The sequence below is a fragment of the Homo sapiens genome, chromosome 17 (assembly GCF_000001405.40).
Source record: "Homo sapiens chromosome 17, GRCh38.p14 Primary Assembly".
Classification (NCBI taxonomy): domain Eukaryota; kingdom Metazoa; phylum Chordata; class Mammalia; order Primates; family Hominidae; genus Homo; species Homo sapiens.
The window spans coordinates 63,920,806-63,944,189 of record NC_000017.11 but is presented as its reverse complement, the minus strand read 5'-3'; the positions used below and the strand labels follow the sequence as shown (position 1 = coordinate 63,944,189).

Sequence of the window (23,384 nt, the reverse complement as noted above, 5' to 3'; positions counted from 1 at the left end):
CCAGCCTGGTGACAGAGCGAGACTCCATCTCAACAACAAAAAAAAAGACGAGGCTGCTACAACCTGCCTTGTGGGTTACTCTAGGGCTCAGCGAGATGTTGATGAAAAGTAGCCAGAAACAGGCTGCAAGACAGCATTGATCCCCACTCCCCTTCCCTCCCTTCTCCTCGGTCCCGCATTCTCCCCTTGTCCCTCCATCTCTGACCCTCCCGCTTCCTCCAGGCTGATCAACAGGGGCGGGGGCTGCCTTAAAGGTGAGGTGCCCCACTGAGGTGGGGGTGGTCCTGGAGGCAGGAAGGGGAACTGCACCTCAACCTGACAAGCCCTATCCCACTATACTTAGGGGGGAAAGACATCTTTATGACGGAGGAACAGAAGAAATACTATAACGCCATGAAGAAGCTTGGCTCCAAGAAGCCTCAGAAGCCAATTCCCCGGCCCCAGGTACAGACCTCTGGGCCCCCTGTCCTGTGTGTGCTGCCAGGCTCCTGCCTAGGGGACTGATGGGGGTAAAAGGTTTCCTGCCTTCCACCCACCAGGCTGTGTCCCTGGGTGAGGTTAGGCCCACCCCAGGGGCAGGGGACTTGGTCTACCTGCAGGGAGGGACGCCTCTTTGTAGTGCCACAGAGACACCATATGCACAGAGGCTGTCCATGAAACTCTAGTGAGTGCTTTACCCTCACTTGGTCCCACGAAGCTCCTCAGTGCCCACCTACCTCCCACCTGGGACCCCAGTGGCCCCTGGGGCAAGGGCTCCCACAAGTGGAAGGAGGAGGATGTCCAGACACCCTACCCAGGAGCAATGACTTTGGAAGAAAGGGGAGGAGCATCTGGGGGATCTTGAAGGGAGGACCATGAACCCCATAAAATGACCTGGTCCCAGACCTGTCATGATCTGATGGGTCACCCCTCCTCCCCTGGCTGACTCCACCACAACCCCCAACACCTCCTTTCTCTCTCTCTCTCTCTCTCTCTCTGTCATCTCTGTCATCTCTGTCATGCTGTGGTGCCATCCTGTGCCTCCTGCCTGTCCATGTCCTGTCTGGGCCTGGCCACCCCAACTCCTCCACATCCACTCCCACCCATGCTGCAGAACAAGATCCAGGGCATGGTGTATGACCTCGTGACGAAGCAGGCCTTCGACATCACCATCATGATCCTCATCTGCCTCAACATGGTCACCATGATGGTGGAGACAGACAACCAGAGCCAGCTCAAGGTGGACATCCTGTACAACATCAACATGATCTTCATCATCATCTTCACAGGGGAGTGCGTGCTCAAGATGCTCGCCCTGCGCCAGTACTACTTCACCGTTGGCTGGAACATCTTTGACTTCGTGGTCGTCATCCTGTCCATTGTGGGTGAGCGGGGCGGGCTGGACCGGCAGGGCAGCACTGAGCTGAGGCACTCGGGAAGACCCATCCTCACACGGACACACCTGCCCCTGCACCCTCACACGCTCACCCAGACACATGCCTGTGCGTGCCTGCCATTCACTCTCAATGCACAAAGGCACATGGTGTGCACACAGGCAGATCGTCACCCGCGCACACATGGATGCACCTCAGGACACACAACTGACCAGAAGACGTGCACTCAGGTGCCCACATACTGAGCGAAAAGTGTAAAAGATGGTTCCATGTCTGTGTGCACTGAGAAGTGCACAGTCATGCGTGTGCTTATGATAGAAAGTAGCTGCCATTTATTATCAACTGTGCTGTGCGCTTGACAGGTGTTATCTCACCTGTTGTTCATAACAATGTCATGATCAGGAACTGTTGTTCCCATTTTACAGGTAAGGAAATTGAGGCACAAACAAGTGAAGTGGAGACCCAGAGTCACGCAGCTGTTCTGTCTCCCTCTCTCTCTGTCTCTCTCTCTCTGTCTCTTTCACACACACACACACACACACACACACACACACACACCAGTGGCATTTGCAAACAGCCTTGGGAATGGGCCTTACACTCCCCCACTTCAGGGTATCCCACCTCCAGTTCCATCAAGACAAAGCTGCAGCCCCTGGCCCCAAGACCCGTGGGAGAGCCCAGCCTCACCTGTCAGTCATCTGGGCTGTGCTCTGAGACTTGAGCAGAGCACACCAGGCCGGGCCCCCTGAGCCCCGCATGCTCCCCACACCCTGTGCCGGCCCCCCTCCCCAGTGGCAGCGTCCTCACTAGCTTCTCCCCGCAGGCCTTGCCCTCTCTGACCTGATCCAGAAGTACTTCGTGTCACCCACGCTGTTCCGTGTGATCCGCCTGGCGCGGATTGGGCGTGTCCTGCGGCTGATCCGCGGGGCCAAGGGCATCCGGACGCTGCTGTTCGCCCTCATGATGTCGCTGCCTGCCCTCTTCAACATCGGCCTCCTCCTCTTCCTGGTCATGTTCATCTACTCCATCTTCGGCATGTCCAACTTTGCCTACGTCAAGAAGGAGTCGGGCATCGATGATATGTTCAACTTCGAGACCTTCGGCAACAGCATCATCTGCCTGTTCGAGATCACCACGTCGGCCGGCTGGGACGGGCTCCTCAACCCCATCCTCAACAGCGGGCCCCCAGACTGTGACCCCAACCTGGAGAACCCGGGCACCAGTGTCAAGGGTGACTGCGGCAACCCCTCCATCGGCATCTGCTTCTTCTGCAGCTATATCATCATCTCCTTCCTCATCGTGGTCAACATGTACATCGCCATCATCCTGGAGAACTTCAATGTGGCCACAGAGGAGAGCAGCGAGCCCCTTGGTGAAGATGACTTTGAGATGTTCTACGAGACATGGGAGAAGTTCGACCCCGACGCCACCCAGTTCATCGCCTACAGCCGCCTCTCAGACTTCGTGGACACCCTGCAGGAACCGCTGAGGATTGCCAAGCCCAACAAGATCAAGCTCATCACACTGGACTTGCCCATGGTGCCAGGGGACAAGATCCACTGCCTGGACATCCTCTTTGCCCTGACCAAAGAGGTCCTGGGTGACTCTGGGGAAATGGACGCCCTCAAGCAGACCATGGAGGAGAAGTTCATGGCAGCCAACCCCTCCAAGGTGTCCTACGAGCCCATCACCACCACCCTCAAGAGGAAGCACGAGGAGGTGTGCGCCATCAAGATCCAGAGGGCCTACCGCCGGCACCTGCTACAGCGCTCCATGAAGCAGGCATCCTACATGTACCGCCACAGCCACGACGGCAGCGGGGATGACGCCCCTGAGAAGGAGGGGCTGCTTGCCAACACCATGAGCAAGATGTATGGCCACGAGAATGGGAACAGCAGCTCGCCAAGCCCGGAGGAGAAGGGCGAGGCAGGGGACGCCGGACCCACTATGGGGCTGATGCCCATCAGCCCCTCAGACACTGCCTGGCCTCCCGCCCCTCCCCCAGGGCAGACTGTGCGCCCAGGTGTCAAGGAGTCTCTTGTCTAGCAGGCAGCATCGGGGTGGCCCACTGAGTCTCGGCATAGTCCCCAGAGCTCCCCCGTGGTGCCTGCACACAGAGTGAGGGAGGAGGGCTTTGAATCTGGGACTGTGCCTGGCTCCCTGATGGGGGACAGGATTTGGCCACACTGGGGCTGACACCCAGGCCCGAGCGCCTGCGTTCCCAGACCATGGGAAATGGGAATTGCGCTCAGGGGCTCCATGCTGGGTCTGAGGCCCCTGCCTCCAAGATTTAACCTGCAAGTTGCTCTGACCTCCTCTGGGCCCTGTCGCCCCTCCTTTTGGCCTGGGGGAGGTCAGAACATTCGAATCTCTGCCCCTCACTTGAGGAGGAGCTGGCCTGCGGTGGAGGGATCAGTTGCCCCCCATCACCAGAGTCTTAAGGGTCACTGGCCTCTCCCCAGGAAGTGGCTCAGACCCCTCAGCCCCAGCCCAGACAAAGATGTCTTAACCTCAGGGAGTGCAGACACCTAACCCCAGGGCACTGCCAGCCCACCCCCTTTGACTCTGGGGTGCAGCTTCACCCACCAGGCCAGCTCAGGAATTCCCTGGAAAAGGGAAATGTGACTGGTTCAGAAATAGCTCCTCAAAGCCTCAAAACCTGATTGGCCACTGGATCCTGCTGCTTTGGGCTGGGATGGTGACTCCTGAAACCTCTTCCTAGGCCACGTCCAGGTCCGTAGCTCCCCTGGCTGGCTCCTAGGGGAAGAGCAGAAGGAAGGATGCCACTTGGGAATGAATTGTCCTTTTCTAGGAAGCACGGGGGAGTGAGACAGGCTGGGTCCTGCCAGCTGGATCGCTGCACATGGCCTGAGCATCCAGACCTGAGCGGGAGTCAGGGACCTGCTGCTCAGTAAGAAGATTCTCGCCCCTTCCCTCTCTCCCTGCCTCACTCCTCCGTGAGCACCACCAGGGCTCCAGGAGCCTCATCCAGCCTCAGAGATCTCCCTTCTCATCTCCCCACGCCCGTCTCTTTCTCACCTTTCCCACCTCTCTCCCCAAAGTGATCCTAAGAATGTACAGTTGAGCTCAGGTTAGATATTTCGACCCTGGGGCGTGCAGCAGGGAAGGCCCAACTGGTTCAGGCTCAACCTTCCAACTTCCTGTGGCCTGAAGAAGCACTTCTGCTGCATCGCTGTTCTGGGCATGGCAGGGCCAGGCCTCTGCTGGCTCAGGAGGAGGGGTGAGAGACCTGCTCAGGCGTCGCTGGATTTATTCACTTGTGTGTGTACCTGTGGCTGTGTGTCTGCTTGTATGCTTTTATAGGCCTGTGTGTATAGCTGTGTGTGTGTTCAAGTGCGTGACTGTATGTGTGTGTGTGAACCACTGTGTACTGGAGCCTGCATTATGCACGTGTCTGGGTATCTTTGTATATATGTGTATATATGTGTGCCCTGGACTGTTTCAAGGTCCATGGAGTACGGCTGGTGTGTCATACTGTGCAGGCCTGTCCCTGGGAGTGTTCCCGTGCCTGGGAGAGTGGACCTGTGCTGTGAGTGTGTGGATGCGTGTGAACGCATGTGGTAAGGTGTGTACTCAGGGCATTCTGTTGGCCTAAGTGCCTCTTCTTTTTCTTCTTGTTTCTCATGAAAAGTTTGATTAAAATTCAGGAAGCAGCAAAACCTTCAAAACAAGACATGTATGTGTGCTTGAGTGTGTGAACACGTGTGTGTGTGTGCACATCTACATGCCATGCCTATGGGCCAGAGTTGTCTTTATTGTCCACCATGCTCTCTCACCTGCTCCCAGTCCTGCCTGAACAGCCCTCTCTCTCACTCCCCTCTCCTCCCCTTCCTGTTTCTCGTTGTCACACCCATGGCCTCAGCCCTGCTCCCTGCCTCCTGCCTATGTCTCCTCTATGGAAGGAGGCCTCCACTCCTTCCATCTCTTCCTTCAGAAGTTTCGTCTAATGGGGGCAGTCTCCCCTTCCTGGCACATTGCCCCTCTGCCTTGCCCTCCTGGGCCCTGGGCTGGCACAGCCCCTGGAGCCTCAGAAATCTGTTTGATTGGATATTCTCCTCGGACTGTGTGCAGGTTGCAGAGGAAGAGTAGATGAGCCGGGTCCGGCCTCTCCCTGCCTGTGGCCCCTCCCCTGCAGACGGATGCCCATTCCTGCCTGGTCCAGTGGGGAACAGGTCCCACGCCAGGCCAGCAGGCGGGCTCCTTTGTACAGTTCTTACAATAAACCCTCCTTGGTGCCTCTGGTATGTGGCTTCTCCCTTCTGCATGTCAGCATGTGGATGCGGATGGGGGCTGAGGGCAGTGAGAAGCAGAAAGGGTCGGTGGGGATTGGAGCCAAACGTGGAAGACACGGGAGCCTCTCAGGGGGCCAGGCAGGATAAGGAGGCCCCAGCTCCCCGCTCTGGCCCAGTCCAGCTCTCTCCAGCCTCCTTACAAAAGCCCCTTAGCTGGAATCCAAGAGACCAGATAGGATCAGGGGTCAAGACCTGGCTCCCACAACAGGCAGCACCACACTCCCTCTCTTCCAGGTGATCCCTGTTGGGACTCTGTGTCCCCAGCTCCTCCTCCCCAGAGGCCCCTTCACTTCTCTGCCCATCTCAGAGGCCTCAAGGTGCCTGTGGGGTACACAGCACAGCCTCTCCCTCTCCTCAGAGGCGCTGACCCCAGGACTGACTTCTGACCCCAGATAGCCCAGGGTCACGTGGACCCGTGACTAAGAATATTCTTATGCGGCAAGTTTAGCCCACAGCCCCCAGAGAGTGAAATATAATCTTGTATGTAATTTTCTTTTTCTTTCTTTCTTTTTTTTTTTTTTTTTTGAGATAGGGTCTCACTCTGTCACCCAAACTGGAGTGCAATGGTGCAATCATGGCTCACTGCAGCTTCGAACTCCAGGGCTCAAACAATCCTCCCACCTGAGCCTCCCACCTGAGCCTGGGACTACAGGCACACGCCACCACACCTGGATGGTTTTTTATAGAGATGGGGTCTTGCTCTGTTGCCCAGGCTTGTCTCAACCTCCTGGCCTCAAGTGATCCTCCTGCCTCGGTCTTCCAAGTTGCTGGGATTACAGGCATGAGCCACTGCGCCCAGCCTGTAATTTTATTTTCTGTAACAACTTCTGACTCCCAGGGCTGTATTCTTCCAGACAAGTAAGCACTTAATTCTTTTCAGGATTTCTGCACCCTCTCTTCCTGGGTCCTGAGGTGATGTAGCACTGGCGTGGGGGATGGGGAGTGGCCCTCAGGCTGCCCCCCAGTGTCGTTCCATTGTCTCTGCGGCACCTTCCACCTTGCAGCTCTCTGTGCGTGAGTGCGAGGGGAGGTGTGGAGAATCTCTACAGGGTTGTCTGAGTGGTCCCAGGGTGCTGTCTTCCCTCCCTGGAGTGGGAGCTTCTTCTTACTTTTTTTTTCAAAATTTTTATGTCAATAGTTTTGGGGGTACAGGTAGTTTTTTTTTTGGTTACCTGGATAATTTCTTTAGTGGTGATTTCTGAGATTTTAGTGCACCTGACACCTGAGCAGTGTACACTATACCCAATATGTAGTCTTTTGTCCCTCACCCCTCCCTCAACGTTCCCCCACTGAGTTCCCAAAGTCCATTATATCATTCTTGTGCCTTTGCATCCTCATAGCTTAGCTCCCACTTACAAGTGAGAACATATGCTATCTGGTTTTCCATTCCTGAGTTACTTTACTTAGAATAATGGCCTACAGCTCCAACCAGGTTGCTGCAAAAAGATGCTATTTCGCTTCCTTTTTTTTTTTTTTTTTTTTGAGACGGAGTCGCACTCTGTCGCCCAGGCTGGAGTACAGTGGCGCGATCTCGGCTCACTGCAAGCTCCGTCTCTCGGGTTCACACCATTCTCCTGCCTCAGCCTCCCAAGTAGCTGGGACTACAGGCGCCTGCCACCACGCTCGGCTAATTTTTTGTATTTTTAGTAGAGACAGGGTTTCACCTGGTTAGCCAGGATGGTCTCAATCTCCTGACCTCGTGATCCGCCCACCTCAGCTTCCCAAAGTACTGGGATTACAGGTGTGAGCCACAATGCCCAGCCTATTTCACTCCTTTTTATGGCTAAGTAGTATTCCATAAAGAGGTGTATATATACCACATTTTCTTTATCCACTCATAGGTTAGTAGGCACTCAGGTTGGTTCCATATCTTTGCAATTGTGAATTGTGCTGCTATAAGCATGCGTGTGCATGTGTCTTTTAGAAAATCAAAATTATATCAAGTATCTTCTCCAACCACAGTGGAATAAAACTAGAAATCCACTCCAAAAGGAACCCTCAAAATTATACAAATATATGGAAATTAATCTGTTCTTGAGTGATTTGGGGGTTAACAATAAAATCAAGATGGAAATTTAAAAATTCTTTGAAATGAATGATAATGACACAACTTCTCAAAACCTCTGTGATACAGCAAAAGTGGTAGTAAGAGGAAAGTTCATAGCATTAAATGCCTACATCAAAAACTCTGGAAGACCACAAATGCCTCAAGGTACCAGAGAAACAAAAACAAATTAAACTCAAACCCAGCAGAAGAGAAGAAATGAGAAAAATCAGAGCAGAACCAAATGAAATTGAAACAAACAACACAAAAGATCAATTAAAACAAAAAGTTGGGCCGGGCACAGTGGCTCATGCCTGTAATCCCAGCACTTTGAGAAGCCGAGGCGGGCAGATCACGAGGACAGGAGTTTGAGACCAGCCTGGCCAAAATGGTGAAACCTCATCTCTACTAAAAATACAAAAATTAGCTGGGTGCAGTGTTGCACGCCTATAGTCCCAGCTACTTGGGAGGCTGAGGCAGGAGAATCACTTGAACCCAGGAGGCGGAGGTTGCAGTGAGCTGAGATCATGCCACTGCACTCCAGCCTGGGCAACAGAGCAAGACTCCATCTCAAAAAAAAAAAAAAGCTGGTTCTTTGAAAAGATAAAATTGATAGACCATTAGCAAGATTAACCAAGAAAAGAGAGAAGATCCAAATAAGCTCTATTAGAAATGACACTGGAGACATTCTTTTCACTTTAAGTTCCTCCAGACCTCGCCTGGAGCCCTCTCTGGCATCAGGGACAGGAAGATTTGCAGAGCGCAGGGTGCTCAAGCCCACACATCCTTTGAGCCTTGAATGGTGGAAGAAAAAAGGCCTCATATTGGGTGAGAAACAGAGACAACTTGGGACAACAGTCACAGCTACCCACCTCCCCAGGCATCCGTGCCACTCCTCGCACTCCTCGCCCTCCTCAGGGCGTGCCGTCCACCACATTCACCAAGTACCTCAGATGCAGGATGGCCTTCAATGTGCACAGCTGCCCTTCGACCAACGCACTGTTGGGGCCGGGCGCAGTGGCTCACGCCTGTAATCCCAGCACTTTGGGAGGCTGAGGCGGGTGGATCGCTTGAGCTCAGGAGTTTGAGACCAGCCTGGGCAACATAGTAAAACCTGTCTCTACAAGAAATACACAGATTAGCCAGGTGTAGTAGCATGACCTGTAGTCCCAGCTACTCGGGAGGCTGAGGTGGGTGAATCACTTGAGTCCAGGTGGCAGAGGTTGCCGTGAATGGAGATTGCACCACTGCACTCCAGCCTGGACAACAGAGCAAGATCTTGTCTCAGAAAAACCCCAGAAAACAACAACAAAAAAACGCGCTATTGGGCTTATTTCTATTTTACGAAAATGAGGAACCTTGGTCACTGAGAGGTTAAGAATGGGTGTTGCCTCATGGGTGCTGTTGGCATGTGGGGCAGGGAACTCTGCTTTGCCAGCCAATGCCCCTCCCGCCCCAGGCACCCACCGGTCATTGAGACCAGCGCGATTGCCCTGATGCATGTGCAGACGCTCCCTCCGTTGGGGCAGAGCCACCCTTAGTAGAGAACCACTGGTAACCTGGGGAGGTTTCCTGGCTGCTACACTGCTGGGTCAGGACTCAAACCCACGTCCTTCTTAGCAGGTCTTTTCCCAGTCACAGCAGCCCAGCAGATCCAGGACACCTGGGCTGGAGAAGGAGGCAGGGGTCTGAGCTCTTCTTTCCCTGAGGTTCTTCCCCCTCCCGGCATCCTAGGGTGGCTGGGGGTCGCTGCCTTCTTGCTTCCCCACCCCCTGAGCCCCTTGTCCCTTCGCCCGACCCTGGCCCCCATTCCTTATTTTGATGTTGCCTTCCTGGAAAGGGAGGTGTCGTCAGAAGTCAGAATGTGAAGCCCCGGGCAGCCGAGGGCAGAGGCAGGGGTAGGCTTGTGAGGCCTCCTGTTCTGGGAAGAAAAGGGCATCATGAGCCCAAAATGGGGCTCAGGGCTGTTGTCACCAGTGAGGGAACAGCACGGCTCAAAATGTGACAAATAACCCTGCAGGCGGTGGGGCCCCCGCTGCCTCCGCCCCTCCTGAAAACAGATCCCTGCCCGGCATGAATGGGAATGAAGCCCAAAGGCCACATCTGCATCCTTGTCCACGGGATGTGTGTGTCTTCCCTCCCTGGAGTGGGAGCTGCTTCTCACTTGTTTTTTTAAATTTTTTATTTCAATATTTTCTGGGGTACAGGTAGTTTTTTTGGTTACCTGGATAAGTTCTTTAGTGGTGATTTCTGAGATTTTAGCGCACCTGTCACCTGAGGATGGGTGCCAACTGCCCCCCACCAACCTCCGTGCCCCCTACAGTCCGCTGAGCCCTAGGACCAGCTCCAGAGTAGGCCCCACACCACAGGGTCCAGGCAACACACCTGTGTGAGCATGCACATACACACACACACACACCCCCCACAAACACGTGTGCCCCAAGCCTTTCCCAGTTATACCCCCCAACTTTGGGGAGACACTAGCCCCAAAGTTAATGAAGGACTCTGTCGTTAGGGGCTCAGGAAGAGTATTTCCTAAACCATGAGACTCCCAGATTTTGCCCCACTCCCCCCGGGTCAGTCTCTCTCCAGCCACCCTCACCAGCATGCGGGCCCATGGGCCTCAAGCTGACCTCAGGTGATGTTTATATTTCTGAGCTGTTTATTCCATGAACTGAACATCTGACAGCTTTTCAGAGAAATGTTTTTTCATTTGGAACATCTGGAAACAAGAAAGAACATCTGGGGCTGCCCGGAACGGGCTGTTCCTCGGATGAAACCTTAACCCTCCTGCCCCTGACTTCCGTGGCTCAGGTCCTGGCCTGCACCCCTTGAGAGTGGCCCCCACCTTATCAGGTCCGAGGCCTAGGCCAAGATCTAAAGAGGGACCACCCAGACCCTCTGCCTTCCAACCATGGCATGGGAGGTGGTTCTGCTTCTCCCTAAATCCAGACAGACCTGCCCCAGCACAGACTGGAAAACGGAGGGTTGTGAGGAGAGTGAGAGGTGGACAGAGGGCACCGACGATTTAGCATCTCTTCCTCTCCTGGGGGTCGAGGATGAGAGACAAAAAAGAAGCTGCCAGGAAACATAAAATTCAGAGGGCTCAGCTGCAGGGCTGAGGTCTGCAAGCATGCTGTGTACACTTGTGCATGTTGTGCCCTGCACAAGGGCATCTCTGAAGGGGCTGCATTGGACCCAGGGGCAGGGGCGCAAAGGTGAGTTTATATCAGTTCCTGAGCACTGTGGCTCCATCCAGCACTCTGAGGACAGGCAGGATACAGCTGGAGGACCTGAGGGCTCCCCCACACCAGCTCCTGTTCCCTGCCCAAGACCCCCTGGACCTGCAGACAACAATTCAACGCACTCAGAGTCCCACAGTTAAGAACTCCCTGAAGAAGCCCCCAGTGGCTGCGTGGTGGATTTTCGCAAAGCTGTCTCCACCTACATCCACCCTGTTTGGCAGCCCCTACATACTCTTTCACAGCATGAGGAAGGGAGGCCTCTCACCAAGACCTGGACTGAATCTTCTCCCAGTGGCTGCCACACTTGACCTGCTCTTGCTCCAGAACCTCTGTGGCTCCCATCCTCCACAGGGTCAACTTCCAACATGGCTGCCTGCACTCCAGCCAAGAGGCTCTGCTCTGGGCCCCTCCAGATGCCTGACCTGGGTCTGTGGCTGCCCTGTCCTTCTTCAGTGCTCCTCTTCCCGCTGGGTGAGGAATAGTTCAGGACAGAGGAGCTAAGTTCAGGTTCATTCATAGGACAGGTGCCTATTTCGCTCACGGCCCAGGAATAGAGACTTGCCGGGCTCGGCCCTTCGGGGAGTTGGCAGACGGCAGAGGGGAGGCTGGCTGGCCCAGGGGATGACCACCGGTGGGGTAAGCACAGACAGAGGGGAGCACAGGCTTCCCCCAGAAGACTGAGAGGCCCCCCAGAGGCATCCACAGAGGACCCCAGCTGTGCTGCCCAAGCTGGGCGACCGCCAAACCTTAGCGGCCCAGCTGACAAAAGCCTGCCCTCCCCCAGGGTCCCCGGAGAGCTGGTGCCTCCCCTGGGTCCCAATTTGCATGGCAGGAAGGGGCCTGGTGAGGAAGAGGCGGGGAGGGGACAGGCTGCAGCCGGTGCAGTTACACGTTTTCCTCCAAGGAGCCTCGGACGTTGTCACGGGTTTGGGGTCGGGGACAGAGCGGTGACCATGGCCAGGCTGGCGTTGTCTCCTGTGCCCAGCCACTGGATGGTGGCGTTGCTGCTGCTGCTCTCAGGTACAGAACCCACGACGAGGCCTGTGGGGTTTGCTCTCATCTCCAGCTGTCTGGGCCCTGCGGCTCTGCCTCCTGCTTGCTCCACCCTCCTCCTCTGTCTCTCACTCTTTACCGCCTGTCTCCCTCTCATGGCCCTGGGGCCTGGGTCTGTGGGTGTCAGCTGCACGTGGTGATGGGCTCAGGAGCCTGTGGCCCCAGTTCCTCTCCTGCCTGGAGAGCATCAGGCTGAGCTGGGCATGAGGAGCAAACCAGAGTTAGCAACCAGGACCGTGGAAGAACTAGGCTCAGGAGGAAGAGAGGCTGAGGGCGGTGCCTGGGGGTCGGGAGGGGAGAGGCTGTCCCAACCGGACCCTGGAAGATGCAAGATCCAAATGTGGTCCCCTCCTCTGGGAGGTGAAAGATCCTCCGGGCTGTGACTTTCTTCCTGTCTCTCTTTAAAAAAAAAAAAAAAAAGAGAGACAGGGTGTCCCTATGTTGCCCAGGCTGGTCTCAAACTCCTGGACCCAAGCGATCCTCCTGTCTTGGCCTCTCAAAATACTGAGATTTCCCTGTCCCTCCTGTCTCATTCAGATGCCTGCTCAAAGCCACCATGAGGGTCAAAGGCAGAAAGGGGGCTGGGGGCAGGGCTTCCGGTACCCCCACCCCATATCTGTCTCCCAAGTACTGGGGGCAGGGAGGACCGAGGGGTCTTGAAGCTGCTGTCATGGAAGGAGGAAGTAGCTCCGGGAACATAGAGGGCATGCAGGGGTGGGGCAGCCCAGGCCAGAGGAGGCCCTGACTGGCCCCGCCCACTTCCTCCCACCCAGCAGCTGAGCCAGTACCAGCAGCCAGATCGGAGGACCGGTACCGGAATCCCAAAGGTCAGTAGCCTCGCCTGCCGCTTCTGAGGGCAAGTTGTGTGCGACTATGTCCTGTGTCCGACTATGGTCCCTGTCCTGGGGGCGGTCCGCCTTCCCACCCTTGCCTGATCTCCCCATCCAGGATTCCCATCCCCAGGCCTCCTTAGGATCTCCTCTGAGCCCCACCCCCAGCCCACTGTCATCCTCATCAGACACATGCCCTCCAGCCTTGGCCACTGAAGGGCTGGGCTAAACTCTGGGTCATAGCAAGGGAGCCTGGGGGTTCCTCTAGGACTCAGGCCCGGGCCTGTCTAGCTGGGAATCTGGCTGAGTCTCGGGTGAGCCCTCCAGTGCAGGGTCACTATGTGAGGGGCTCAGGGATTCCCGGGCAGTGCTCACTAAGAACAAGGCAGTCGAAGCTGGAAAGAGGGTTCTGGAACAAGAAGTGGACCCAGTCCCTGCAGGAGGGAAGAGGGGGATGATAGAGGGAAGTCATGCAGGGAGGGGGTCGACTGAGGAAGGTCTCAGTTGACAGACTAGGAATTTGGCCTTTATCCCTGGAGGAACGGGGGAGACTGAGGATTTCAAGCCTGTGCAGGGCAGCCCAGTGAAAGGAGGGGCCAGGCCTGTGGGCCTCCAGGTCCTGGGGGTGTGGCCTGGGTCAGGCTGTTGTAATGGGCATAGGAAGGAATGGCAAGGTCCCAGGGCTCTTCCAAAGGAAAATCGAAGGGGAGGTGGGGCAGTCGGGAAGAGGTGGAGTCTGAGAGCTTGGCCGTGGCTTCTCATGTGGCTCAGCCTCTCACGTGGCTCTGCTTCCCAACTCCAACCTCAGCCTCCTGCCTGTCCCACACCCTGAGAAGCAAGGACTAAGCCCAGGGAGTCTGTGCCAGCCAGGGCAGGGGCCTGCTGCTGGGGCTGGCACTCAGGAAGATGCCAAGCGGAATGCTGAGCCTGGCCTTGGCACCCACAGGTAGTGCTTGTTCGCGGATCTGGCAGAGCCCACGTTTCATAGCCAGGAAACGGGGCTTCACGGTGAAAATGCACTGCTACATGAACAGCGCCTCCGGCAATGTGAGCTGGCTCTGGAAGCAGGAGATGGACGAGAATCCCCAGCAGCTGAAGCTGGAAAAGGGCCGCATGGAAGAGTCCCAGAACGAATCTCTCGCCACCCTCACCATCCAAGGCATCCGGTTTGAGGACAATGGCATCTACTTCTGTCAGCAGAAGTGCAACAACACCTCGGAGGTCTACCAGGGCTGCGGCACAGAGCTGCGAGTCATGGGTGTGTGCCAGGTGGCTGGGACGCTCCTGTAGCTGTCCGCCCCACCCTAGCCCGGCCTGCCTCTTGTGGTGATGGTCATGGCCCTAGAGCACTCAGGAGAGCCACTGGGACCTGAGGGAGCTGCCCTTGTAGGCCTAAAAGGTGGACTGTGGCCCAGGCTCACAACCCCACCCCTGTCCCCGCAGGATTCAGCACCTTGGCACAGCTGAAGCAGAGGAACACGCTGAAGGATGGTATCATCATGATCCAGACGCTGCTGATCATCCTCTTCATCATCGTGCCTATCTTCCTGCTGCTGGACAAGGTGATCAGGGGACGGGGGAAGCCTTGGGGGACCGCAGAGGAGGCCACCGCATAGGCCAGGCATATGCAGGGTCTCCATCTCCCCAGCTCTCGTTGTGGCCTTCTTGGTCCAGCCTGTCCCCACTGGCTCACCAATTCAATCATTCCTTCCTTCCTTCCTTCATTCAGCTGTTCTTGCAGAATGCACCTCACTCCTGACCCCTCACCCCTCTCCCTGGCCCTCCCCAGCCTGGCCCAGCAGGGGATGGGGCTGGGGGACACTAACACTCTGATCTCCATCCCTCTCCGCCCCCAGGATGACAGCAAGGCTGGCATGGAGGAAGATCACACCTACGAGGTAAGGAGAGGGGCAGGCCCAGCAGCTCTGAGTCCTCGGGGTCAGTGGCCACTATCTGCTGGTGTGGTTGGGGTGTGGTCCCGGCCTGAGTTCCACTTAATGTCTCCAGGGCCTGGACATTGACCAGACAGCCACCTATGAGGACATAGTGACGCTGCGGACAGGGGAAGTGAAGTGGTCTGTAGGTGAGCACCCAGGCCAGGAGTGAGAGCCAGGTCGCCCCATGACCTGGGTGCAGGCTCCCTGGCCTCAGTGACTGCTTCGGAGCTGCCTGGCTCATGGCCCAACCCCTTTCCTGGACCCCCCAGCTGGCCTCTGAAGCTGGCCCACCAGAGCTGCCATTTGTCTCCAGCCCCTGGTCCCCAGCTCTTGCCAAAGGGCCTGGAGTAGAAGGACAACAGGGCAGCAACTTGGAGGGAGTTCTCTGGGGATGGACGGGACCCAGCCTTCTGGGGGTGCTATGAGGTGATCCGTCCCCACACATGGGATGGGGGAGGCAGAGACTGGTCCAGAGCCCGCAAATGGACTCGGAGCCGAGGGCCTCCCAGCAGAGCTTGGGAAGGGCCATGGACCCAACTGGGCCCCAGAAGAGCCACAGGAACATCATTCCTCTCCCGCAACCACTCCCACCCCAGGGAGGCCCTGGCCTCCAGTGCCTTCCCCCGTGGAATAAACGGTGTGTCCTGAGAAACCACACACAGGCTCGTGGCATCTTATGGGTTTGGGGTGGATAGGAACATCTATGTGGGCACTTCTGTTGTTTGAATGTGGCATCTGTGAGCCCTCGAGGGTGTGGGAAAGGTAACAGCCACCCCTCCTCTCCGAAGACCCAGTTGGAGCCTGTGGTCGCATCCCCGTTTCTTCTCCCTGGAACGGGGCTGCATGCCAGGCCCTAGCTGGACCCAGAGCAGCTGGCCAGTGACTGGGCCTGTCCTTCCCCTCAGCAGGGACACCCTCATCTTGCACTTCATTCAGCCGAAAAGCGGCAATTGAGTCCCACTCTGCCTCCACCTACAGGAAGCCCTCCCAAAGCACCTGGGTCCTCGCCCAAGCCCTGCTCAGACCAGCCTATGCAGCGGCGACTTAGCTACTGCCTTGTGCTACTCACACTGGCCTTGGTTCTCCAGGCAAACTGGAAGCTCCCTGAGGGTAGGGGTTTCCCTGCCTCTACAACACTCCCACCCCCACCTCCCAGGAAGCCTAGGAAAGCTTGATGCAAAGCCATCAAGAGTGAGATCCTGAAGAGTGGAGCTTTGTATGGTGAAGCTTTGGGGTTCTTAGCCAGGGGACCCCTTCAGACTTTCCCAGCCTCATATCGGAGGTCCCCTATGGCCCCAGGGTCCTCAAACAATGGTCCCTAGGGCCCTCCAGCTCACCAGCTGTGGGAGGTACTGGGAACAGCTGCCAGCTGGGAGACCAAGTGCAATCAACCTGCACGTGCAAAGCCTCCCTCCCAAGCCAGGCTGTGCTCCACTTCCTGTTGACCCTGGAGGGAATCCTTCGAGGCCCCTCTGCTATTCCTGCTCTGAATTCCAGCAAGGGAGCACCTATGCTGTGGGAGCTGCCAGTTTAACTGGGGAATCAAGACCAGCACAGGGGAACTAGTGAGAACAGTGCCAATTTTCACCAGATTCCCTCTGGAATTCCAGGTGGGGCAGGTGGGTAAGGCCCCCACGCCTGCAGTTTCAGGTAAATCTCTCCACCACCCTGGGCCAGGCTGGGCCAAGCCAGGCGGCCCCTGTGTTTTCCCCAGTCTCTGGGCTGCTGGAGGGAACCAGGTTGTTTTGGCATCAGCCTCTACTGAGCCGGAGCCCTTCCTTTCCTGCTGCTTTGCATAGTGGCACTAATTCCGTCCTCCTACCTCCACCAGGGACCTAGGCAGCCGGGTAGATGGTGGGAGGAGGCTTCACTTCTCCCCCAAGCAGGGTCTCCACCTGCTTGAGGCTGCCCTGGGTTGGGGGAGGCCTTGGCTTTACCTAAAGACTTTTTAACACCTCTGAACAACTCAGTTTCCCTGAGACTTTGAAGTTCTTGTTTTATTTATCTATTTATTTACTTATTTATTTATTTGCAGACAGAGTCTCACTCTGTTGCCCAGGCTGGAGTGCAGTGGCACCATCTCCGCTCACTGCAACCTCCGTCTCCTGAGTTCAAGCAATTCTCCTGCCTCAGCCTCCAAAGTATCTGGGATTACAGGCGTACACCACCATGCTTGGCTAATTTTTGTATTTTTAGTAGAGATGGGGTTTCACCACGTTGGCCAGGCTGGTCTCAAACTCCTGACCTCAAGTGATCCATCCGCCTTGGCCTCCCAAAGTGCTGGGATTACAGGCATGAGCCACCGCGCCCAGCCCGAAGTTCTTGTTAACAGAGAATCATTTGAGCATAGACCTTGGCCCCTCCACCAGACACCCCCAAAGGGCTTGACTTCATGGGTTATAATGTAGGAGCCCTCCCCGGTCTGTTTTTCTGTTTTAAGGGCTTACACTCTGGGGGACATCATGTCTGTCTCCCCAGAACTGCCATAGGCAATGGTAATATAGCTGGGTACTGATGGTGGGGACAAGAAACATCTCAGGTTGCTTCATCTGCGAAATGGGAATCCTAAACCCCATCCGAGGGAAAGAATTTGGACTGGACATTGTTTTGTAAAAAATTATCACAATAAAATTGAGGGCCAGGCGCATTGGCTCATGCCTGTAATCCCAGCACTTGGGAGGCCGAGGCGGGTGGATCACCTGAGGTCAGGAGTTCGAGACGAGCCTGGCCAACATAGTGAAACCCCGTCCCTACCAAAAATATAAAAATATTAGCCAGGCATGGTGGTTGGTGCCTGTAATCCCAGCTATTTGGGAGGCTGAGGCAGGAGAATTGCTCGAACTTGGGAGGCAGAAGTTGCAGTGAGCAGAAATTGTGTCACTGCACTCCAGCCCAGGTGACTGGGCAAAACTCCATCTCAAAAAAAAAAAAAAATTGAGTTTGTGTCCTTTGGGTGTACAGAATTTTAGCAAATGTATAGATTTGTATCACCACCACCACAATCAGAACAGAGAATATGAACCAAAAGCTTTTATTGGGCCCAACAAATACGTATTGAGCACCTCTTAAATGCAAGAAAACTGGATTGAACACCTCCATCTTCATTTACACTCTGCCTGATGTCCCTGGAAGAAGGTTGCACTACCTGATTTTTACAAACAAGGAAATCAAGGCCCAGGGAAATTACCATAACTGGCCAAAATCACACCTAGACCTTCTGGCTCCAAGTCCAGCCTTCTCCCCACTACATCACGGCCGCCCCTCTTGAAGGGCATTGCAGCAATAAGACCCTGAACCGAAGGAGGAGGGAATCCAGGGACAACTTTGGCTATCTTCAAACGTTTGTGTTTTGAAGGGGGATTTGCTTTTCCTATGATTCACGAGGTTTGAGGCCCCAAAGGCCCCACCCCTTCTTGCCAAGGCCTAGTAGGAGGCCTCTGAGCACCCTCGAGAGGAAGCCACTGTGCCATCCCTCCAGGACCCCAGCTCTACAGCTGCCCCCTCTGCCTGCCCCCTCCCCAGAACACAGCTCTGAGGCCCCTGGTGGGCACATGCCTCACTGCCCACTGGGGGAATCCAGCCAGCTCCCCAGGGACCCTGGTTGAAGCACAGGCTTGTTCCTCCTCCATTCTAGCTTGACTTCCTCCCCTCTTGCTGCAGGTGCTGCTAGGGTTGGGGTGATCTGACCCAAGGTTTTGGGTGTTTTTCCAGCAGAATTGGAAACGAGAGAAAAACAAAACAAAACGCAAAAAACGGTGGCTATTTGGGTCCCTTAGTAGGTGTCTGGTCTGGCTGAGGTTTCTCTGAGGGGCCTCTAAAGCCATCTCAGGGCCGGGTGCGGTGGTTCATGCCTGTAATCCTAGCACCTTGGGAGGCTGAGGCAGGTGGATCACATGATGTCAGGAGTTCAAGACCAGCCTGGCCAACGTGGTGAAACCCCATCTCTACTAAAAATAAAAAATTTAGGCCCAGTGCGGTGGCTCACACCTGTAATCCCAGCACTTTGGGAGGCTGAGGCGGGCAGATCATCTGAGGTTGGGAGTTCCAGACCAGCCTGACCAACATGGAGAAACCCCATCTGTACTAAAAGTACAAAATTAGCCAAGCATGGTGGCGCATGCCTGTAATCCTAGCTACTTGGGAGGCTGAGGCAAGAGAATCTTTTGAACCTGGTGGAGGTTGCGGTGAGCTGAGATCACGCCATTGCACTCCAGCCTGGGCAACAAGAGCAAAACTCCGTCTCAAATGAAATGAAATTAGCTAGGCATGGTGGCACATGCCTGTAATCCCAGCTACTGGGGAGGCTGAAGCAGGAGAATCACTTGAACCTAGGAAGGGGAGGTTGCAGTGAGCTGAGATCCGAGATCATGCCACTGCATTCCAGACTAGGCGACAGAGTGAGACTCTGTCTCAACAATAACAACAACAAAAGCCATCTCGGAACATGGTATTTGGGATCTCTGTCTGCTCTCTTTGGATCACCTCAAGAAGTGGGTTCAGAGCCCACATCTGTGACATTCCTGAGTGTGTCTCAGGTCTACAAGCTGCTCCTTGTATGTCATCTTCTGGTCCTGCCATTGACTCAGCTGCAAACAACCACAAATCTTCCACTTGGGACACCTGCCTCTCCCACCCAAAAGACTTTACTTGGAAACAGGTGACTGCAGAGGACAAAAATTAATGAGCATTATCTCCTGACTTAAATCAGAGTGTAGTTTGTTAAAACACACTTAGACTGATCCTAATATAATTTTCAATTTTTTAAAAAAGGCATCCCCCCTCCAGACCTAATACCACTTTCCCCATGTGGCAGGAGGGGAAGGCAGAACTTCGTGTAAGTTAATGAGTCCGTATAGAACATTCCTGGGAACTTGGGCACTCTGCCTTGTCACCTTTTGCATTTGACAATCAAGTTCCTGTCCTTGTTATTTTATTTATTATTATTTTTTTTTTGAGACAGAGTTTTGTTCTTGTTGCCCAGGCTAGAGTGCAATGGCACGATCTTGGCTCACTGCACCCTCCACCTCCTGGGTTCAAGCGATTCTCCTGCCTCAGCCTCTCAAGTAGCTGGGATTACAAGCGCCCACTACCAGGCTCCGCTAATTTTTGTATTTTTAGTAGAGACGGGGTTTCACCATATTGGCCAGGCTGGTCTCCAACTCCTGACCTCAGGTGATCCGCCCGCCTCGGCCTCCCAAATTGCTGGGATCACAGATGTAAGCCACTGCGCCCTTCCCTGTCCTTGTCATTTTAAAATAATTATACCAGCAGGAGGACGTCCAGACACAGCATGGGCTACCTGGCCATGCCCAGCTGGTTGGACATTTGAGTTCTTTGCTTGGCACTGTCCTCTCATGCGTTGGGTCCACTCAGTAGATGCTTATTGAATTCCTGGGCCTGGGGCTGTGGCAGCTGCCTCGTCCCTTCACCTCCTGGCTTATTCTCTCCCTCCATATCTTAGCAATTTCTTCATGGGAATGTCCCCAATTAGAAATTTCTATTATACCATTATATTACCAACATATATATATATACCTGGCCGGGCGCGGTGGCTCATGCCTGTAATCCCAGCATTTTGGTAGGCCAAGGCGGGTGGATCACCTGAGGTCAGGAGTTCGAGGCCAGCCTGATGACCATGGTGAAACCCCATCTCTACTAAAAATACAAAATTAATCGGGCATGGTGGCACATGCCTGTAATCCCAGCTACTCGGGAGGCTGAGGCAGGAGAATCGCTTAAACCCAGGAAGTGGAGGTTTCAGTGAGCTGAGATTGTGCCATTGCACTCCAGCCTGGGTAACAAGAGCAAAACTCCATCAAAAAAAATAATATATGTATATATATATTACAATTTTATATATATATACACATTATGTAATTTTTTTTACCATTTTATATATATACATTACGTAATGGTAAAATGTTTTCTCTGCCCCCCCAGTAGATTGTTAGCTCCAGAAGAGAAAGGATCATGTCTTTGGTTTATCTAGATATGTCCATCGGCCTGGTACAGTCTCTGGCCCATGTTATAGGCAACAACTACTTGTAGAATCGGTGAATGCATGAATAGAAGAATGAGTGAATGAATGAATAGACGAAAGGCAGAAATCCAGCCTCAGGCCGGGCGTGGGTGGCTCACACCTGTAATCCCAGCACTTTGGGAGGCCGAGGCGGGTGGATCACAAGATCAAGAGATGGAGACCAACCTGGCTAACACAGTGAAACCCCGTCTCTACTAAAAATACAAAACATTAGCCGGGCATGGCGGTAGGCTCCTGTAGTCCGAGCTACTAGGGAGCCTGAGGCAGGAGAATGGCATGAACCCAGGGGGGCGGAGCTTGCAGTGAGCCAAGATCGCGCCACTGCACTCCAGCCTGGGCGACAGAGCAAGACTCGGTCTCAAAAAAAAAAAAAAAAGAAATCCAGCCTCAAAGAGCTTACAGTCTGGTAAGAGGAATAAAATGTCTGCAAATAGCCACAGGACAGGTCAAAGGAAGGAGAGGCTATTTCCAGCTGAGGGCACCCCATCAGGAAAGCACCCCAGACTTCCTACAACTACTAGACACATCTCGATGCTTTTCACTTCTCTATCAATGGATCGTCTCCCTGGAGAATAATCCCCAATGTGAAATTACTTAGCACGTCAAGTTAGGTAGATCCTTGTGTACTTCTTGGTTGTTCAGAGATCATCAACCAGTGCAAACAATCCCCCCATCAATACACAGCAGTGTCTGCCCCTCTCCTCCCCAAGCCTTCCGAGGCCCTTCCTCCGTGCCTGAACCCCCTGGACATATCATGTGGCAAACTGAAGGGTCCAACGAGATACAGGAAGTGAAACACGATGTACACTGAAACGTGCAATACAAATATGCAGCATGAAGTGCCTCGGTTCACTAACCCGAGCTATGCTGGGTGCTTCTTTTCTACCACTTTCCTTAATGCCTATGGACACCTCATTCTGTGGCTGAAGTTCCTTGTGTTCAATTCCCCCCATCTTCATTGAACATCCTCTGTGCAGGGACTTGACCCCTGTCCTGCTAGCTTTGCACTGAGGCAAGTTTTGTCCATGCCTAGTAGTGCCACCATCTTTACTAGATGAGGTTTCTAAAGAGCTTGGCATGGAAGGAAAGCCTGGGGGGCCTTAGAAGCCATCACTTAGGAACTGGGAGAGCTCCAGGCAAGCCACCTTATCTCTTTGGGCCTCAGTATCCTCACTCACATCCCCATGGTCAGTAGAGTGCCAAGCACATAGTGGACACGCAGAAGTATTGATCATCTTCCTCACCTCCCCTAGGAGAGCCCTTGGGAATCCCCATATAATATTCTCTGAAGACCTCAATCCAATGAGCCAAGTAATTGACTCGGTAGCAAACTCATGGAAAGGACATTAGAAGCCAAAAGGAGGTAGAGTATGTCCCAGTACAATAACCAGCCTCTGATCTCAAGGAAGAAAGAACAGAGCTGCAGGTGAGAAGTGTGCGCCTCAAATCACCAAAGTGAGAGTGGAAGGAGCACCCACCAGTCCCTTGGAGGCGATCCCTAAGACCGGTGAGAATGGCTTCGAAAAATGTGATCGTCCTCAACCCCACAGTCTTGAACCTAACAGGAGATCTTGAAGCCTGAAAGACACCACTTTAGGATCAACAGCAGATCTGTGACTTTCCACAGCAGGCACACAGAACCCTAGAGTTAGTCGAGGTTGGACATAGGAAGGGCTTCCAAACACACAGAGAAATTCATGGATCCTAAATTATAAAGGGAGGTTCTTTAAAAGAACCAAGATGATTCTGAGATTTATCCTGAGCTTTTTTTTTTTTTTTTTTTTGGATGCAGAGTCTCGCTCTGTCGCCCAGGCTGGAGTGCAGTGGCGTGATCTTGGCTAACTGCAACCTCCACCTCGCGGGTTCAAGCAATTCCCTGCCTCGGCCTCCTGAATAGCTGGGATTACAGGCGCCTGCCACCACACCTGGCTAATTTTTGTATTTTTAGCAGAGACGGGATTTCACCATCTTGGCCAGGCTGGTCTTGAACTCCTGATCTCATGATCCACCCACCTTGGCCTCCCTAAGTGGTGGGATTACAGGCGTGTGCCCAACTTTTCCTGAGCCTTTTGAGGCTGACACCAGAGGTGAGAAGCCCAGCCTCTCCCCACTGGCCATGTGGGGAGAGGCTCCAGCCTGCAGCAACCAGGGATCTGGCCTCAAGTGATGCCCCAACAGTGGGCGACTTCCCAGTACTGTTAGGAGAATCCCAAGTCTAATTCAAAGTTGATTTTTTACTAGCAATGAATGATAGACATGGTCTCCATTGCTCAAGGCTCTGGGAAGATCTAGACTAGAGAAAACGATCACCGACTTCTACCCACACCTGTGGGCCTCAGTTCTTCCCTCTGGTCCATGGTTACCACAGTAACCCCTTGTAAAGGTGTTTCCCCAGGGGTCCCTAGAGTCCTCTGAGTCACCATAATTCTGGGTCAACAGAAATGGAGAGGTAAGAGGAGACACTCCCCTGCCCTGGCTGGTCCCACGTGTTCATGGCAGTAACCTGTCTGGGGAGCCTCGCCACCCCTGTGTCCACCTGCAGAGTTATG

The 23,384-nt window shown here is 54.2% G+C and overlaps 2 protein-coding genes across 5 annotated transcripts in view, besides 27 other annotated features; both read left to right on the top strand.

Annotated features, from left to right (window-relative positions):
* SCN4A (sodium voltage-gated channel alpha subunit 4) overlaps positions 1-5,636 on the top strand; it is a 34,365-nt gene extending 28,729 nt beyond the window's left edge. The window contains exons 22-24 of the mRNA NM_000334.4: positions 340-444; positions 1,094-1,364; positions 2,197-5,636. Coding sequence (NP_000325.4) covers positions 340-444; positions 1,094-1,364; positions 2,197-3,419 — 1,599 coding nt within the window. The 3' untranslated portion in view covers positions 3,420-5,636. The remainder of the gene's footprint in view (positions 1-339; positions 445-1,093; positions 1,365-2,196) is intronic.
* Positions 1-23,384: part of a locus control region, noted in NCBI's record as "fragment (approximate range) that functions as an LCR in transgenic assays", that runs on past both edges of the window. NCBI's record gives the evidence for it as "EXISTENCE:transgenic organism evidence [ECO:0001131][PMID:8524268]".
* Positions 9,005-10,609: an enhancer, noted in NCBI's record as "1.6 kb HSI/II enhancer fragment". NCBI's record gives the evidence for it as "EXISTENCE:reporter gene assay evidence [ECO:0000049][PMID:10446901]".
* Positions 9,006-9,050: a protein binding site, noted in NCBI's record as "HSII.1.1.1 POU1F1-binding site". NCBI's record gives the evidence for it as "EXISTENCE:protein binding evidence [ECO:0000024][PMID:22094313]".
* Positions 9,006-10,204: a DNaseI hypersensitive site, noted in NCBI's record as "HSII; the nucleotide coordinates are approximate for this feature". NCBI's record gives its function as "cooperates with HSI in histone acetyltransferase (HAT) recruitment" and the evidence as "EXISTENCE:in vivo cleavage assay evidence [ECO:0001075][PMID:8524268, PMID:22669946]".
* Positions 9,051-9,114: a protein binding site, noted in NCBI's record as "HSII.1.1.2 POU1F1-binding site". NCBI's record gives the evidence for it as "EXISTENCE:protein binding evidence [ECO:0000024][PMID:22094313]".
* Positions 9,200-9,262: a protein binding site, noted in NCBI's record as "HSII.1.3.1 POU1F1-binding site". NCBI's record gives the evidence for it as "EXISTENCE:protein binding evidence [ECO:0000024][PMID:22094313]".
* Positions 9,263-9,316: a protein binding site, noted in NCBI's record as "HSII.1.3.2 POU1F1-binding site". NCBI's record gives the evidence for it as "EXISTENCE:protein binding evidence [ECO:0000024][PMID:22094313]".
* Positions 9,802-9,846: a protein binding site, noted in NCBI's record as "HSII.3.3.1 POU1F1-binding site". NCBI's record gives the evidence for it as "EXISTENCE:protein binding evidence [ECO:0000024][PMID:22094313]".
* Positions 9,847-9,896: a protein binding site, noted in NCBI's record as "HSII.3.3.2 POU1F1-binding site". NCBI's record gives the evidence for it as "EXISTENCE:protein binding evidence [ECO:0000024][PMID:22094313]".
* Positions 9,878-9,930: a protein binding site, noted in NCBI's record as "HSII.4.1.1 POU1F1-binding site". NCBI's record gives the evidence for it as "EXISTENCE:protein binding evidence [ECO:0000024][PMID:22094313]".
* Positions 9,931-9,997: a protein binding site, noted in NCBI's record as "HSII.4.1.2 POU1F1-binding site". NCBI's record gives the evidence for it as "EXISTENCE:protein binding evidence [ECO:0000024][PMID:22094313]".
* Positions 10,204-10,608: a DNaseI hypersensitive site, noted in NCBI's record as "HSI; the nucleotide coordinates are approximate for this feature". NCBI's record gives its function as "activates GH1 during pituitary development and sustains robust activity in the adult" and the evidence as "EXISTENCE:in vivo cleavage assay evidence [ECO:0001075][PMID:8524268, PMID:9724759]".
* Positions 10,204-10,608: an enhancer, noted in NCBI's record as "404 bp HSI F14 enhancer fragment". NCBI's record gives the evidence for it as "EXISTENCE:reporter gene assay evidence [ECO:0000049][PMID:9724759]".
* Positions 10,249-10,288: a protein binding site, noted in NCBI's record as "HSI Pit-1A- or F14.1- or M1-binding site". NCBI's record gives the evidence for it as "EXISTENCE:protein binding evidence [ECO:0000024][PMID:16914737, PMID:10585453, PMID:10446901, PMID:12189206]".
* Positions 10,350-10,609: an enhancer, noted in NCBI's record as "260 bp HSI enhancer fragment". NCBI's record gives the evidence for it as "EXISTENCE:reporter gene assay evidence [ECO:0000049][PMID:10446901]".
* Positions 10,358-10,397: a protein binding site, noted in NCBI's record as "HSI Pit-1B- or F14.3.1- or M2-binding site". NCBI's record gives the evidence for it as "EXISTENCE:protein binding evidence [ECO:0000024][PMID:16914737, PMID:10585453, PMID:10446901, PMID:12189206]".
* Positions 10,418-10,457: a protein binding site, noted in NCBI's record as "HSI Pit-1C- or F14.3.4- or M3-binding site". NCBI's record gives the evidence for it as "EXISTENCE:protein binding evidence [ECO:0000024][PMID:16914737, PMID:10585453, PMID:10446901, PMID:12189206]".
* Positions 11,183-11,232: an enhancer, noted in NCBI's record as "active region_12569". NCBI's record gives its function as "activates an Ori minimal core promoter by ATAC-STARR-seq in GM12878 lymphoblastoid cells {active_cell/tissue: GM12878}" and the evidence as "EXISTENCE:reporter gene assay evidence [ECO:0000049][PMID:35858748]".
* Positions 11,209-11,879: an enhancer, noted in NCBI's record as "H3K27ac-H3K4me1 hESC enhancer chr17:62009671-62010341 (GRCh37/hg19 assembly coordinates)". NCBI's record gives its function as "activates a minimal SCP1, AML or CMV promoter by ChIP-STARR-seq in naive H9 embryonic stem cells {active_cell/tissue: H9 hESC(naive)}" and the evidence as "EXISTENCE:reporter gene assay evidence [ECO:0000049][PMID:30033119]".
* Positions 11,243-11,352: an enhancer, noted in NCBI's record as "active region_12568". NCBI's record gives its function as "activates an Ori minimal core promoter by ATAC-STARR-seq in GM12878 lymphoblastoid cells {active_cell/tissue: GM12878}" and the evidence as "EXISTENCE:reporter gene assay evidence [ECO:0000049][PMID:35858748]".
* Positions 11,853-12,242: an enhancer, noted in NCBI's record as "active region_12567". NCBI's record gives its function as "activates an Ori minimal core promoter by ATAC-STARR-seq in GM12878 lymphoblastoid cells {active_cell/tissue: GM12878}" and the evidence as "EXISTENCE:reporter gene assay evidence [ECO:0000049][PMID:35858748]".
* Positions 11,859-15,450, top strand: CD79B (CD79b molecule). Of its 4 annotated transcripts, none has more exons than NM_000626.4 (6): positions 11,859-11,995; positions 12,805-12,855; positions 13,805-14,116; positions 14,302-14,420; positions 14,715-14,756; positions 14,866-15,450. In NM_000626.4, exons 1-6 carry the CDS (start codon positions 11,929-11,931, stop codon positions 14,962-14,964), a joined length of 690 nt encoding a protein of 229 aa, NP_000617.1. In that variant the 5' UTR covers positions 11,859-11,928; the 3' UTR covers positions 14,965-15,450. The 4 variants fall into 4 exon arrangements, with proteins under 4 accessions (NP_000617.1, NP_001035022.1, NP_067613.1 ...); NM_001039933.3 differs by having other exon boundaries at positions 12,802-12,855; NM_021602.4 differs by lacking the exon at positions 13,805-14,116.
* Positions 12,940-13,009: a silencer, noted in NCBI's record as "silent region_8835". NCBI's record gives its function as "represses an Ori minimal core promoter by ATAC-STARR-seq in GM12878 lymphoblastoid cells {active_cell/tissue: GM12878}" and the evidence as "EXISTENCE:reporter gene assay evidence [ECO:0000049][PMID:35858748]".
* Positions 21,093-21,544: a non allelic homologous recombination region, noted in NCBI's record as "sub-region c', recombines with sub-region c within the IGHD type 1A-1 recombination region". NCBI's record gives the evidence for it as "EXISTENCE:nucleotide sequencing assay evidence [ECO:0000219][PMID:1980158]" and "EXISTENCE:restriction fragment detection evidence [ECO:0001124][PMID:1980158]".
* Positions 21,093-23,384: part of a biological region, named in NCBI's record as "IGHD type 1A-2 recombination region", that runs on past the window's edge. NCBI's record gives its function as "recombination_partner: LOC108004536".
* Positions 21,995-22,590: a non allelic homologous recombination region, noted in NCBI's record as "sub-region b', recombines with sub-region b within the IGHD type 1A-1 recombination region". NCBI's record gives the evidence for it as "EXISTENCE:nucleotide sequencing assay evidence [ECO:0000219][PMID:1980158]" and "EXISTENCE:restriction fragment detection evidence [ECO:0001124][PMID:1980158]".
* Positions 23,180-23,229: an enhancer, noted in NCBI's record as "active region_12566". NCBI's record gives its function as "activates an Ori minimal core promoter by ATAC-STARR-seq in GM12878 lymphoblastoid cells {active_cell/tissue: GM12878}" and the evidence as "EXISTENCE:reporter gene assay evidence [ECO:0000049][PMID:35858748]".
* Positions 23,250-23,339: an enhancer, noted in NCBI's record as "active region_12565". NCBI's record gives its function as "activates an Ori minimal core promoter by ATAC-STARR-seq in GM12878 lymphoblastoid cells {active_cell/tissue: GM12878}" and the evidence as "EXISTENCE:reporter gene assay evidence [ECO:0000049][PMID:35858748]".

Bases quoted from the DNA above. Each gene is read 5' to 3' on its own strand.
- CD79B (NM_001039933.3), top strand. From the start codon at position 11,929: ATGGCCAGGCTGGCGTTGTCTCCTGTGCCCAGCCACTGGATGGTGGCG. The intron at 11,996-12,801 runs GTACAGAACCCA...CCTCCCACCCAG, and splicing joins GTTGCTGCTGCTGCTCTCAG to CAGCTGAGCCAGTACCAGCA. The intron at 14,757-14,865 runs GTAAGGAGAGGG...TAATGTCTCCAG, and splicing joins AGGAAGATCACACCTACGAG to GGCCTGGACATTGACCAGAC.